The sequence below is a fragment of the Homo sapiens genome, chromosome 6 (genome assembly GCF_000001405.40).
Source record: "Homo sapiens chromosome 6, GRCh38.p14 Primary Assembly".
In the NCBI taxonomy this organism is placed as follows: Eukaryota; Metazoa; Chordata; class Mammalia; order Primates; family Hominidae; genus Homo; species Homo sapiens.
The window spans coordinates 119,239,368-119,254,669 of NC_000006.12; the positions used below are offsets into that span (position 1 = coordinate 119,239,368).

The 15,302-nt window shown below is 37.1% G+C and overlaps 1 protein-coding gene across 4 annotated transcripts in view; it reads right to left on the reverse strand.

The window, feature by feature from the left end:
• MAN1A1 (mannosidase alpha class 1A member 1) overlaps positions 1–15,302 on the reverse strand; it is a 173,401-nt gene that overhangs the window by 62,163 nt on the left and 95,936 nt on the right. For 3 of the 4 annotated variants that reach the window (XM_005266986.5, NM_005907.4, XM_011535833.3), the window contains one exon: positions 8,893–8,987. The exons of the other annotated variant lie outside the window; for it this stretch is intronic. In XM_005266986.5, coding sequence (XP_005267043.1) covers positions 8,893–8,987 — 95 coding nt within the window. The remainder of the gene's footprint in view (positions 1–8,892; positions 8,988–15,302) is intronic. 4 annotated transcript variants of the gene reach the window in all.

Genomic DNA, 15,302 nt, shown 5'->3' on the forward strand with positions numbered 1-15,302 from the left:
TAGTTAATAAAAAGAACTGCAATTAATAATTCTTCATCCCATTTTTCAGAACATATCAACTATAACTATTACTGCACAAGCAGGAAACATGGAGTAGTTAATGTATCCACTGAGACTGTGAGGCCTTTAAAACTATTGGCTGTAGCCTAAATATTTTATATTGACCCTCCAATTCCCAAAGATTCAATGTAGTTAGTTGAATATTTACAATGATTAACAATTATGAGGGCTGATAAAGTGCCTTGATACCTGCGCTGATTTTCAACCATGTATTCAAACTATTTCATAAATTTTAAAATTAAACTTTACTAATTAGATATTTGAAAGGTTTGTCCCACAATAACAACGTAAGACCAGTTTTGAGATTAATCACAGGAAAATTGATTGCTGGGTCATTAAAAACCTGGGGAATTCAATTCCTTGAAAAGATTATTCCATTGTTAGCTTGTGAGGGAGGTATATGAATTTACGCATTCTGACTTGTTCCCAATCTAAGTTCTGTACACAGCATAAATTTCAAATTGCTGAGGCTGATTCGCAACCAATTGTGTGAACAGAGTGAACAAAGCTGAATCTGTAAAACACTAGTTCTGTGCATTTGAAAAACTTGAGATGAAAGCCACTTTGAAATTGTTGCATTAAAATAACTATAATTGTCCTTACATGAAATTTTCCTGGTGAGTTAACTGCTTAAACTGTGGTAGATGCTATGGGAAAAGTAGTGGTCATATTTAACAATCCAGTCCCATCTGCTTTGAACCAAGGTTCTATTTGCCCAAAATTGAAGGGTGAGGAAGCCCTCTTAACAGACTTCCCACATACAAGTCATTTAAAAAGGGATTTAAGCAACTCTCGGGATAAACTGCCTCTAAATTCTCTACACATCACCTTGGATAAATTTTTCCACTTTAATTATTCATATGCTACAATTTACCCTTAAATTGTAGAACTTTCTGAAAGTATAGAAAAATATTTTAAAATATCTAATTTATTGTTGAGTAAAACGTGAACCTGGTCATTCCATTCATGTCAATTTCCTGCTCTTGCCCTATCAGAAACACAGCAGGAGCCTGAGCAGATGGAAATTCAAGGAAAAGGCGGGAGGGTGGGGTGCAGAAGAAATGAGGACCGCTACAGCCTGTGTTCAGAGGCAGATATGGTCTGCTCCTGCCTTCAGAGAATAAAAAACACTTAAAAAACCCATTTACCTGAGTGTTAACTTCAATTATGACCAGAGAAGTGGGAAGAAAGGAAACTGTTCAGGCATCCTGAGGTTCAGGCATCCTGAGGTTCTTCAAATTCCTACCGCCTCACAATGCATGACTAAGAACATCCTTTGTTCAGACTTCCTTGTCCGTAATGTCTCCATAAAGGTGGCTATACACAAAGTACATTTAAATTAAGTGTTGCTATCCTGTTATAACTGTCCACTTGCAATAAATAAATGTCCTTAGTTTGGTCAAGGTATTGAGTGCCTGGCAGAGCTGTAGTGATCCAAAGTTTGGTGACAGGATTAAATGATCACAGAAGTGACCTCTGTTCCCTCCTGCTCATCTGGTGGGAGGGTAATCCCTGATTCTGCTTCATTCTTCACAGTACCCTTAGGTACAGGGCCAGGTTACCAGCTGTTTATAGTAAAGCCATTTTGCCTGAAGCTACAAAGTGTGACTTTATGGAAATAGCTTTACTTTTAAACAGTAACCCAGAAGTTTCTAATTAAAAATGCTTATTTTTTCCCCTCTATGCTAAAAATGCCTAAAGTTTACTTTCTAGTCTCACTGGATTAAAAAAAAAGTACAAGGGGAAAAAGGACATGCAAACTCTGTTTGGGTAATTACTGCTTGGAATTGGCTGCTTTCCAGAAGAAGCAACAAACTGCTTAGAGTTAAGTGGAAACTTTGTGTAACTATTAATGAAAGTAAACAAATGATAGAAACAGAACACAGGCCCTACTCCTGCTTCCCCAACAGTGGACCTGGCTGCCTCACTGAACGGCTCTGAGATTTAACTACATGGCTCTGATGGCTCAGTCATTTCTTATTACAGTGGTTCTCAAAGTGTGGTCGTTGGGCAAGCAGCAGCAGCAGTAGCTTCCCCATCAGCTGGAATCTGGTTAGAAAAGCAAATTATCAATTCTTAGTAAATACCTACAGAATCAGGCTCTCTGCTTATGATCCAGCAATGTTATGTTTTAATGATCTCTCCTGGCAATTGTTATATATTCTAAAGTTTGAGAAGCACTGTTCTATTAAAGCTGGGTATTTTCAAAGTAATTTTCTAGGATTTTAAAATTTCAATAATTAAATTGACCATCAGTGAATAGGGAAACGTTTTAAACCCAATGTTTTCAAATGCAACTGAGATGAGAAATAAAGCTAACCTCAGCATATAAATGCTGGATTTAAAACAATGATTCTTGACCCTAGCTGAATATTAGAATGTCCTGGGAGGTTTTTAAAAAATGCCAGAATTTTATCCCCAAACCAATTGAAACAGACTGGGGGAAGGGAAAGATGAAGGCAGCAATTATATGTGTGTGTGTGTGTGTGTGTGTGTTTGTGTATGTGTGTGTGTGTATGTATGTGTGTGTGTGTGTGTGTGTGTGTATATGTGTGTGTATATATATATTAGAATCCCAGTTATTCTGAGGCATGGGAAAGTTGAGAGTCACTGATACAAAGCAACCAGAACAGTCAGACCCTTAGCAGAACAGTCCAAGAACTAGGAAACAGGGCTATGTGGCTATTTATAACAGACAGACAGACAGACACACACACTTTCATAGACTGGGTTTGTACCACATTAATTAGGCACTAGCTAGCATGTAAGACTTAGGATAAGAACATAACTCTGGATTGCCTCGCATCCTTTTAAAACCTAATCGGCTGAACAGTTCTAGTTTTTAGTACATAATTCACTAATAAATATAATTTTAGGGAGCAAATTTAGTTTTGATCCTATAGGTTGGATCCCAAATAATTTAAAAAATAATAAAAGCTTGAGCACGGAGCCACCACTATCCTACATAAACCACATTGAGACATTCTCTCCACACATCCAATTGGTTCCATCATCTCTTTTCTGCCAGAGGAAAATACAACTCCAGCTTGAACAGGTCAGGAGCACTGATAGCTTAAAAATGAAATGATGTCCACGAAAGGACATCAGAACCAAGTTAGTCAGTTCTAGATATATACTATTTTATCATATACCATATTCATATATACTCTTTCATAATGAAATATTGAGAATAGAACCATAAATTAAGAAAAATTCCAATGTCCATCTGTTTCATAGCACTCTGCAAGGTTTAACCTTCTGCACATTAACCAGATTTCCATAAAAGCCTTATGAGGTCAAGATAGGCATTATTATTGCTATTATTTTAGTTTTACTTATGAAAAGTTAAGTGAATTTTCCAGAGACAGACTGCTAATAGCAGCTTTAACTATGGTAATAATATTCTAATGTTTGACATTAATAACTACATACCACTATTAAAATCTTAAAGTATTGTTGATTACTAGTTCCAGAAGACTACAAATGGCCAAATGAATTAAAATAGATAAAAGAGGGAAGTGGGGAACCCAATATTTAAAAAAAATCCAACTGGGGGAAGAAAAAGAAACCATAAAGAAGGTTAACTTAAAATACTTAGAAAGATGTAACTTCTTTTTAAAAAACTTTTCTACAGTTTCTAAACTTGTCTCTGACTTCTTAATAGATCCATAAAGTATATAAATAAAACATAAAGTGTAAGATGGAGCTCTGATTTTATACTCAGGCTTATATCACTGCTACAGAACATTTTTAGGATAATTAAGCAATATTTTTGCCTCATAGAATACTAGCACCATTAAATCAATTTGATCTTATGTTCAGAAAATTTGTTTATTGATATTTTCATATTATTTCTATTATATTAAAGTATGGAATTGTATTCTGCTTCATTTGAAAATATAATATACTTCTTTCAAATCTGAAACCAGGAACTTTAAAAAACTGTTAGCAAATTTAATAATGCAGAAATTTATGCTTTAACTGTCAAGTAAAAACATAGGGAGATATAGGAAAACACTTTAACAATATTTAACCTATCAGATCATCTTTCATAGTTTGTGTTTATTAAAATTAACCAACTATAATGTAATATTTAAACATTTTATACCACCAAAGTATTAATAAACCCAACAAGGGGGCTATCACCTTTTCTTAAAATATACACATTATATGCTTCCCTAGGATAATCTTTCACTATTAGAAGACAGGCAGCTATGTACTATTCTTAATTAAAGCCCTATTTCAGTCAAAGTAGAGCAACCTGCAATTTAATTATAATAATATAAACTGTAATGTAACCAATGACATCGTATGTATTTTCATCAGATAATTAGAATAGTCAGTAAATAAAGCTTTACAAAGCAGGAAATAAAACAGGTGAGGGGTTGTGCCTCATTCATCACCTCACTGACTAATGAGAGTCTGAATGAAGATCAGTCATTTCCTATACACACCTTCATGGTGTGCAATAAAAGCACACACTGTAGACAGCTCTACTAAATGTAACACCAAGCAGGCGTCAGAAAAATCCATACAGAGAAGTGATAAAATAGTGTATAGCTAAAACTAACTCATTTATCAAGAAAGACAGAAAAATTATTAGGAATGCCCAGACTGTATGCCCTGTGATAGAAATGAATAATGGGAACATTAACTACATTATTTTAAGAACACACTTTAAAAAACCCAAAATCTAAGTCTACTCTACCTAGACTTGAATTACCTTTGCAAATACAGAAATGGTGAAATGCCTGATTTTACAAATCACAGAGGTAATTTTTCTGCTTCAAGTTCGAGAAAAAAAAGCATAGGCCTCTTGCTAATAGTAATAACAAGAATAGACACCAAACTTTGACATTTTCACATTAGAGAAATTGAGTTCTACCAAAACCTAATATTAGAAAGGCAATGATTTTCTTTTAGCAGAGGTGTGTAACTTATGCATTCTCATTCTATGATCATATTGGTGAAGGAAACATGTTAGTCTAGTGAGGAACTGTATAGCATCTAGGTTATTAAATGAGTACTTTCCATTAAATCACAATTTCAGAATCTATTGAATTAAGAATTCTTATTGGATTAACAATTTAAATAGATGTGGCAGAAAAGACAATTAAAATTTTTTTTTCTGAACCGCTTTTGGGATAGAGTTCCTCATGTAGTATATGAGTGAATTATTTAGGTTCTCTGCATATATTCAGCTTGCACAAATACTGAAATACAACTTGACTTATTGATGTTTTGTCTCCAAATACATAAACCTCCCCAATTCAAAATGCTGCTTGCTTCAAATTCAACCTGGTGAGTACTTATTATCTCTCCTTGGTCCATCTTAGGTTTGTCAATTACATGTGTGAGTGTGTAACACACAAAAATAAATTCTGCTTTACCAACCAGGCTGTGAGTCCCCTGAGGGAAAGAACATGTCTGTTATCTTCTTGAATAAAGTGAAGAGAAGTAGAAACTCTTCCCAGGACTTAGTAAGAAATCTTTATCACAGGAGAGACTCAAATAAATGCTTAGTTTTGACAAAGAAAAGGTAAAGAAACCAATTATCTTTAGGCAATAACCAGAATACCAGAGGAATGTGAACAGATAATACCAATAAGTTCACACTGTTGTTAACATAGAGATGTTGACAAAGAGACACATTCAAAATTGAGAGGGAAGAGCAGAATTATGATATTACAGCCAGCACATTCAGTGTCTCTCCAGTGGTAATTCTTGCCAAGAGTTTCAAAGCCAGTCAACAATGAATGCACAGCTAGTCTAAAAAGCATCTTTAAGCCCTCCTTTTTTCTTCTCCTGGGCAGCTTTCTACATTCTCTTATTCTGAGAAGGTAATTAAGAAAATATGATTTTGCCAGATATATGTTTCCCCACTCCTTTGAAACTTTTGCTGGTGACAGCCTTCCAAAACTACGAAAGCAGCTCTAGGCCAGCTGTTCCCTATACCTTGGACCATACTGTGAAAATAAAGTGATTCGCAAAACAGTATATATGTACAAATGACACCAACAGCACATTTTGAAAAGTAATCTTGTAGATAAATATGAAATGTCGCTTCTTGCCCTACAGGAAAACTTAAGATGATAAATCAGTCTCACAGCTGGAAGTACAGCTGATTCAAGGAGTGTACTTGATTAGGCAAAGGAACAGGGGGAATTTTAGTGAACTAATATCACTATTAATTTTGCCAGTGCTTATTGTGTGAATTTGGGTAAGTCACTGGTATTTAGTAAATGGGATTGAGAGTGGATACAATATATAATTAAAAATTCATGCATGTTGCCAAGAAGAAATTATTATCAGCTGCCAAATGGTTGCTCAATTTCATCCAGTTTAACTTCAAAACATCAGTGAATACATAAATGAAAATGACACATTATTTTTCACCACATGCAATTTTTCTGTAATCTCTGAAATTAAATAAATTCTAATGCAAAATACTGCGCAAAATGAAGTCTTATAAAAAATTTGAATGCCCTGGTTAATAAATTCTTGACAGACATAGGTATGAAAGATACTAGAGGATTTAGTAATTTAATAAATTAAGTATTTATGTACTGAAAAATATCTCCATGGTACACTAAGGATAGATTTAACTAAGGAAAAATCTACTTGGCAGTTGGAAATAAACAGTAAAGTTAAATATATTTCAAAATAGTATATTTTGAATTCCAATTTCTTATGCTTATTTCAAGGGAGGCCAGTACTAATTAAGCAATATCAGCATCTCATAAAAATGGACTCGACTTTTGCAAAGATGTAGCCCACACCTCTATTAGATTTAGTAGGCCTTTCTCCAATTTCATTACCTTCCAGGAAACGAGAGAAACTAGCTTCACAGAATTTAAGAGAAGGCTGGAGTGATCATCTGCTCTAGGATTGTAAACTGGCGGTCATTGGTGGTCTTCCATTGTACTGTTAGCTTTTGGAAATTGTGTAAAAATCCATGTAGTCAGGAATATGCACTTTATGAGAGGCATATGTTCATCGGAATCTGAAAGTGGTCTGTGAACCCCAAAATGTTCACAAAGTAACTACTGAGTTCACCTACCTTCCTGGTTACAAATTAGCCAAGAGAGTTTAAATGACTGCTGCAAGACAAACCTCGAGTAGCTGTAAAGACCTAGATTCAGGTCTTTTGATAACCAATTAGTTTAGTGTACTACTATGCCCATAACACTTTTCTCAGTAGGGAAAAAAATGAGTTAATTGTGCACGGTGCTTTTGTGACCAGATCTTGTTTTAGGTAAGAGAGTAGTATCTTGGTCAGAATACTACCTATAAATACAAATTCTGAAGATATAAAAGGTAAGAAAGAAGGTCTACAGGAGTCAAATACTCATGGGCCTCCAAACACAAACCAAGCTGCTTCCAAGCCAAGCTCAGAGCCACCCCTGCATTAAGGCCCTACAGTACATGTATGATCTTCAAGCTGACAGAGAAAGCCTGAGGACCCTTAAAGGAAGAACAGATCCTGAGGCATCACATTCTGCAATAGAGAACGATTAATATCTCAGTTTAACATGGCCCAGAGGTGTGAACTCTCCCCACCCCACTCCCCACACCTATAGATAGGTACAGGATGATTTCAAGGTGTAGATATATAATATACAAATGAAACTAAAGCATGGCATCTCACAAATTTGTTAAAGGAAAAATAAAATAAACTGATTAATTTCATGGTTTTATGATTAATATTTGGACAGAATGTCACTAAAATAAATAATTAGGAAGAAATGTGCATTAATCTTGCCAAACCATGCTATGCATTCTCTTGGTGTTTCTAAACCAGAAAGCTGTTTCATTTGTACATATGCATCGATGTGCGTATAGACATCTAAGTACATATTCTAGCTCTACCATTTACTTACTGTATGATATTAGGTAAATTAATTAATCTCTCTGTGACTAGAGCTTCCTATTGGTAAAATGGAGATAACAGCATTGACCTTACTGGGTTGTTGTGAGGATAATATGTGGTAAGAGGACTAAAGAGCCCATCACATTTTATAGTGACAATAATAGCTATCATCACTGTCTCATCATTATCACAGAGAGGTACAGGCAATTAATAACTTATGGGCAGGAAGGCGTTAAGAAGGAAGCTTAAGACAAAATCGTTTATTAATGAAATGCTTAAGTTATGAAAACTCCAACTACTCTCTGGGAGAACACCAGAAAGTCTGTTCAGCCTGGGATGTGTGTGTGTGTGTGTCTTTTCCAATTGGAGCCACATTCTCAAGAACTTGGCATATCAGGGTTCTCCACCAAAGAGGATGAGAAGGTTGGATTGATCTGGGTGAGTGCATTGGCTGCCTTCCCTTCTTACAACTGGGGGCTGGGTAACCACAGGTGCTCCCAGTCTCCGTTATACCAGCTGCTTTTATGGGGGATCTGATTAGGCCAAATATTGTATTTCTGCCATATTTCTGACCAGTAGCTGAACTTAAATAAAGGTTCTTAGGAATTTGCTTCTTTGGAAGTGAAATGCTTTGATGACAATTAAAAGATAACGGGACTCTTTTGGTATTTATGGAGACAGTATCATTGATGCAAAGTCACTATGAAACAGTGTAAACCTCCAATCGTGTCTGGCCTGAATGACTCTGTTGAGGTCACGCCATCCCACAATGGGGACATATCTGAGGCTATGGAACACTGAAAAGCTAATAGCTGCCAACAAAAAGACAGATCTCAAGACTCCCAGTGGAGTCTGTTAGTCACCAGTATCATATAAGTAATTATCTATCTAATGTATACTTATTAGGCAACAATCTGGAATATTTCACCTTAAAACATGTTGTTGAAAATGAAGAGTTTTACCTTTTCATATTCAGCAATGCCCAAGGTATTCCAGAGGGAGTATGAAATGCAGGTAGCAATTTTACCCCAAGTTCCACTGCTTTCTTTCGAAAAATCTGAAAAGTCAAACAGTTAACTGTAAGCTACTGTTGCAAGCAAAACAAGATGAACTATACTATTATCTAATAGTTACCACTTTTCTACTTTAATATTTTAGTATTTTCTACTTTTAATATCTGACAAAAAGTTTACCAAATTAACAGAATTACCCAGTAAAGCAACAATGGTCCAGGGGCCATCATACTGGGGGATATTTATTCCCAATCTTGGTTGCTCATTAGAATCATGTGGGGAGATTTGGATGCTACTGATGTGAACGTCTTACTCTTGAGATTCTAATTTCTATGGTTGTAAGCTTCTGGATCAGGATTTTAAAAGCATCACAGGCGACGCCAGGTGATTTCAATGTGCAAGCCAGTGGGAGAACCACTGTTGTTGGAGGATAAGACCCGGACTGAGAACCAGGAGATCTGGTCTATCCTACCTTCAGCACTATTATTTACTAGAGCACAGAGAAAGAAGTTTGAAAAAGACATTATCACAGGTCTGTGTGTCTCCTCAGCCCTTGCAGCTTTAACTTTCTCTGATGTTAAGTGTAAGTGATATAAAAAATACTAAGTTAAATTAGGTACAGAGTCTGCCCAGAGTTTACTAGGGAAGATAATTATATGCACATAAATATCTAGAACACAGATATAATGAGAGCTGGAGATAAAATACTAGGTGAGTTCAGTGAGACTGTATGCTGGAGATGGCATTTAGATGAGAACTGTACGCAGCATTGAACTGGGGCCGATAATACCACAGACCGGAGTGAAGATTGAAAAGTAAAGAGGGAATCCCTGAGGGATCAGCCTCCTCCCGACAGAAGGCGGCAAGTGGGGCCCTACAGAATAAACAGGGAATGGGGCAGCCTCCCTGACAAAAAGGGGATACTGGTAAATGAGGTCAGGCATCCACAGCTCAGGCCAAAACATGGAGGGCCACAAATGCGAGGCTAAAACTTTCATTCTGGTTAGAATGGAAAAATAATGAAAGTCTAGTGTGCAGAACTGTGTTTTAGGAAGATTAATTAGATGAGGCCCATCCTCAGTTTTAGGTCCAAAGAAAAGCTCTAGCTTATTTACTGAAGAAAGGCCTGCTATAGTTGTGGCACCAAGCAGGTACCTGTTCCCCTCTCCTTTAAGCCGTATGACTGAGCATGGTGGACTGGAAGCGTACCATTTCCTCCTCAAACAAGGAAGAAGTGAGAGAGGCTGGAGGAGCCCTGAAGAGCATGGAAAATGGAGGCAAAGTTCTCTGTCAGCCACTGGGGAAGCATTCACTAAAGCAATCGACAAAGAAGTCACGTGTGGCTTCTCCAGAGGGAAGGGCTTCAGTGTCTAACTCCTGCTCTAAGTCCTGAGCCTCTCCACTGAGACATCCAGGCACTTGGGCTCCCAGACTGAAGGTAATCCAGTAATACCAATGTTGAGGCTACTTCCCAAGCCCTATCTTTTGGAATCTTAAAAAAAAATTTTTTTTAAATTTAAAATTTTCCTCATGCATACCACAGATCTTTTGGAATCTAACTCTCATTTAGTAGTGGAAGTCAATAAAGAAATGACTTTGGTTGACAGTCAATTTAGATAAATTGACATTCCTTGTATACAAATAAGGAAATACATTTGTAGTATATAGAAAATGCTAAAAAACAGAGGTGCCATTTTCTCCACAAATTATTGTAACTCTTGTCAAAGGGGACAATTCCCTGTATCAATAACTTGTAGTGTATGGAGAGGAGAAAAAAAAGTAGAGCAAAGGGTATATTCTTCTTTCCCTTTCTCTGCCTTACCCCAGAGAAATTTCATGTTGTCTTCTGCTACAAGGATTTATCCAATCACTGCCCAGCCATCTGTTGACTTTCTGGTTTCTACCCAACTTGTAAAAACTGTTAATTAACTCCTTTTCAAGAAACTTACATAAGATCGAAGTCAAACCACGTAATTAAAACACCAAGTTGGATATAACCATATGGCACAGTTGAGGGCTTTGAAGCACAATGCCTGTGCTTGAATCTCAGCTCAGCTTCTCCAAACTGGGCAATCTTGTACAACTTGCCTAATTTCTCTGTCCTAACCTTCCTCATCTGTACAATGGAGATAACAACAGCATTTACTTTTTTAAAGGCTGTGGAAAGAAATAATAAGTTATTATATTTAAAGACTTTAAGACACGTAGTAAACACTAACAGGTAGTTGTAGTTTTTATGGTGATAATGATAATGGTATTTCCTCAAGAAGGTGGCTTTTATCCAACTGTTGTTTTGGTGCCTTCTACTTATTCAGACTCCTCTCTCTTGTTCTCTCTCTGTGTGTGTGTGTGTGTGTGTGTGTGTGCGTGTCAGTTACTCCCCACCTGCCTCTTCCCCGACATACACACTTTTAATCATGTGTGTGCATTCTCAAGAGCTAAGGCTTCAGTTCTCACCACCTATTTGCATTCTCAAATTCAACCTTCTATTTTAGCTCTAGTTCAGTACTTCTACCTGTGTACACACATCACAAAATGGGTGTCTTGTTATTTTCTGAAACTTAACATGTCCAACATGGAATTAATCATTTAATATTCTGGGCAAACTTCCCCAGCTCTATCACTGACATTATTTTCTGGTCAGTCCCTTGGACTCAAGTGAACAGGCATTTTGATTTTTGATTTACCGCCTCCATCAGTCACTAAGTATCACTGTTAACTCATTTGAAATGTCTTGTATGCAGTTCATTCTCTGATAGGAGCATAGGCCATGTTCTCATTGCCAGGTACTATGAAATGCACGATTTAAAAAAAAGAAGGTCCTCCTATTTAGCCTGCTTGTTTCCTTATTTCCATTAATAATTTTTCCTCATTTCCATTAATCTGTATTTACGTTACCAACTTTCTACCACACAATTTTCTTGTTCAAGAAATGATAATGACTTCCTGTGTTGTCTAACATCGGGTCAAATCTGCTCTACTAACGGTTCAACCACCTCTATGAATCAGACCCTTCAATTATTTTCTGTCCATCTGGCTCTGGCTCCAGCTCCAGCTTTTGAGTCTTCATGGTCTTAAGTTCTCATTCATGTTCAGTCCATCTTAGCAACTTTATTTACACATTCTCTCATTTTAAATCACTCTCTTCTGCCTCCTTTTGGCTGATCCAAATTTACCCATTCTTTAAGGCCAAAGTCAAGTCCAGGCCAAGACTCCAGGTCAAGATCTTTGCCTTCTGTGAACTCCCACACTGATAACTAGTACCATACAATGCAGTCTTTGATACAGATCTCTAAATCAAGATACAGAAGGCAAGAGAGAGATCTCTGAACGTTTTATTGTGTTTTCTCTCATATCCCCCAATAATTTTTCTTCCTAGAAGTAGAGAAAAAGACCCCAATTTCTCCTTCACTGCCTATTATACAGATCTAACCCAGATTAAGTCATTTTTTATTTAAATTTACTGATATCACCACAGGGCTCCTATGAGTAGTAGGCAGGAAGATATTAATATTCTCAGTTAACAGACAGGAACAGCGGCCCCTTCCCATATCGGGGTTTTTGCACTTGCAGTTTCCTCTGCCTGCAATGCTCTTTCCTGAGCCCTCTGTATGCCTTGCTCATTCTTACCTTCAGGAATCTGTGTAAATGTCCCCTCGAGAGGTCTTTTCCTAACCACCCCACACAAAGTTGGCCATCCTTATTTATTATATCACCTTGTTTCTTTTCCATTATTTATCATGTCTTAATTATTTTATTTGCTTGTTTATTGTTTGATAACTCCACTAGATACGATCTCAACGAGGGCATGGAAGCAGCTGGCACTCAATAGATGTTCATTTAATAAATAAATGAATCAATTTAAGATTAATGATTAGGTGGGCACAAAAGTAATTGTGGTTTTTGCATTGTTGGAATTGGCCGTTTGATACTGGAATACATTCTTAAATGTGGTTATGTTACATATAATTTTAATGGGCATTTCTCGCTTTATTAATTTTTTCCTAATGAATTATTGTTTATTTTATGTTGATTTTAGACTATGGAAAGGATGTTAGACAAAAAGCAAATTTGAGTGATTTTCTTATTTGAGTTCAAAATGGGTGGTAAGGCAGCGGAGACAACCTACAACATCAACAACACATTTGGCCCAGGAACTGCTAACAAACATACAGTGCAGTCTTGATTCAAGAAGTTTTGTGGCTGGGCACGGGGGCTCATGCCTGTAATCCCAGCACTTTGGGAGGTGGAGGCGGGTGGATCACGAAGTCAAGAGATCGAGATTATCCTGGCCAACATGGTGAAACCCCGTCTCTACTAAAAATACAAAAATTAGCTGGGCGTGGTGGTACATGGCTGCAGTCCCAGATACTTGGGAGGCTGAGGCAGCAAAATCACTTGAACCCGGGAGGCGGCAGTTGCAGTGAGCCGAGACTGCGTCACAGCTCTCCAGCCTGGTGACAAAGTGAGACTCTTGTCTCAAAAAAAAATAAAAAAAATAAGTTTTGCAAAGGAGACGAGAGCCTTGAACATGAGGATCATAGTGGCCAGCCATGGGAAGTTGGTAATGACCAATTGAGACCAACCATTGAAGCTGATCCTCTTACAACTACATCGGAAGTTGCCACAGAACTGGATGTTGATCATTCTATGGTCATTTTGCATTTGAGGCAAGTTGGAAAGGTGAAAAAACTGGCTAAGTGGGTGCCTCATGAGCTGAGTGAACATAAAAAAAAAATCGTCGTTTTGAAGTGTCTTCTTCTCTTATTCTACACAATAATAATGAACAATTTCTCGGATTGTGATGTGCGACAAAAAGTGGATTTTATATGACAACCAGTGATGACCAGCTCAGTGGATGGACCGAGAAGAACCTCCAAAGCACTTCCCAAAGCCAAATCTGCACCAAAAAAAGGTAATGGTCACTGTTTGGTGGTCTGCTGCCGGTGAGATACACTACAGCTTTCTGAACCCTGGTGAAACCATTATATCTGAGAAGTACACTCAGCAAATAGATAAGATGCACAGAAAACTGCAATGCCTGTAGCTGGCATTAGTCAACAGAAAGGGCCCAATTCTCCATGACAACGCCCGACTGCACGTTGCAAAACCGCTTCAAAAGTTGAACAAATTGGGCTATGAAGTTTTGTCTCATCTGCCACATTCACTTGACCTCTTGCCAACCCATTACCACTTATTCAAGCATCGCGACAACTTTTTGCAGGGAAAACATTTCCACAATCAGAAGGATGCAGAAAATGCTTTCCAAGAGTTTGTCGAATCCCAAAGCACAGATTTGTACACTACAGGAATAAACAAACTTATTTCTTGTTGGCAAAAATGTGTTGATTGTAATGGTTCCTATTTGATTAATAAAGATGTGTTTGAGCCTAGTTATAATGATTTAAAATTCATGGTCCAAAACAACAACTACTTTTGCATCAACCTAATAACATACCTGGGGCATTGTAATAAGAAGCCATTGATATTACATTGTTTGCAAAGTGCTCCATCCCGTTCCACTAGTTGCTACTGTCTGAAAATAATTATCTCCAGTATTCTAGAGTCTCAACCTTTGGCACAATTACAAAATATTTTTAGATAAAAATATTAATTAGCTCATTGATACTTGAGTCAAATCATACACGAGACTGAATCAACTTCAATCTCAATGTTTGATTTGTTATCTCCTCCTGAGCTCTGATGAGGTTACTAGAGGAAGAATCCAGATTCTGAAAGAGAACATCCTTCTACCTAAACTGGTGAGCTTATAATAAAACTAGCTTGTAAAATTAAAATTGTTGAGAGAATGAAGGAGGCATATCACAAATCATTCTAAAGGGCAATTAAGTTTTAAGTAGCACATATTAGATGATGTGCTGAAAAGCAAATTTTTACAAAAAGTACACTAAATGGCACTTTAGTGCTACTTCAAATGGGGATAGGCATGATGGAGAGAGCCCCGGACCCAGGTCCTTGGACTGGCTGTACTACTGTTTCCATGTGAGGCCTGAGCGGGTCAGTTAACTCTTCTGGTTCTCAATTTCCCCAGAAAAAAGAGGGAGAGTAAGGCTGATCATTTCTGTTTTTGATTTATCACTGGAAAAATAAGTACTCAGAAGCTACAAAACTAGTACTAAAATGTGACTGGGAAAAAAGCAAGACAAATATCATCTTTTGAAGATAGGAAATGTTAATTTGCCAACCAATTGTTCACCAATCTTGGTTTCTGGTGTTTGTTGGTACCTCTATTTGGTGGGGAGGATTTTATAAAGTTAAGAGAGTCAGGTGAAAAATTACAGTTCATAAAATGTAATCCTTGCTAATAGAAGATATTTTTAAATGTCCACTAAAAGAAA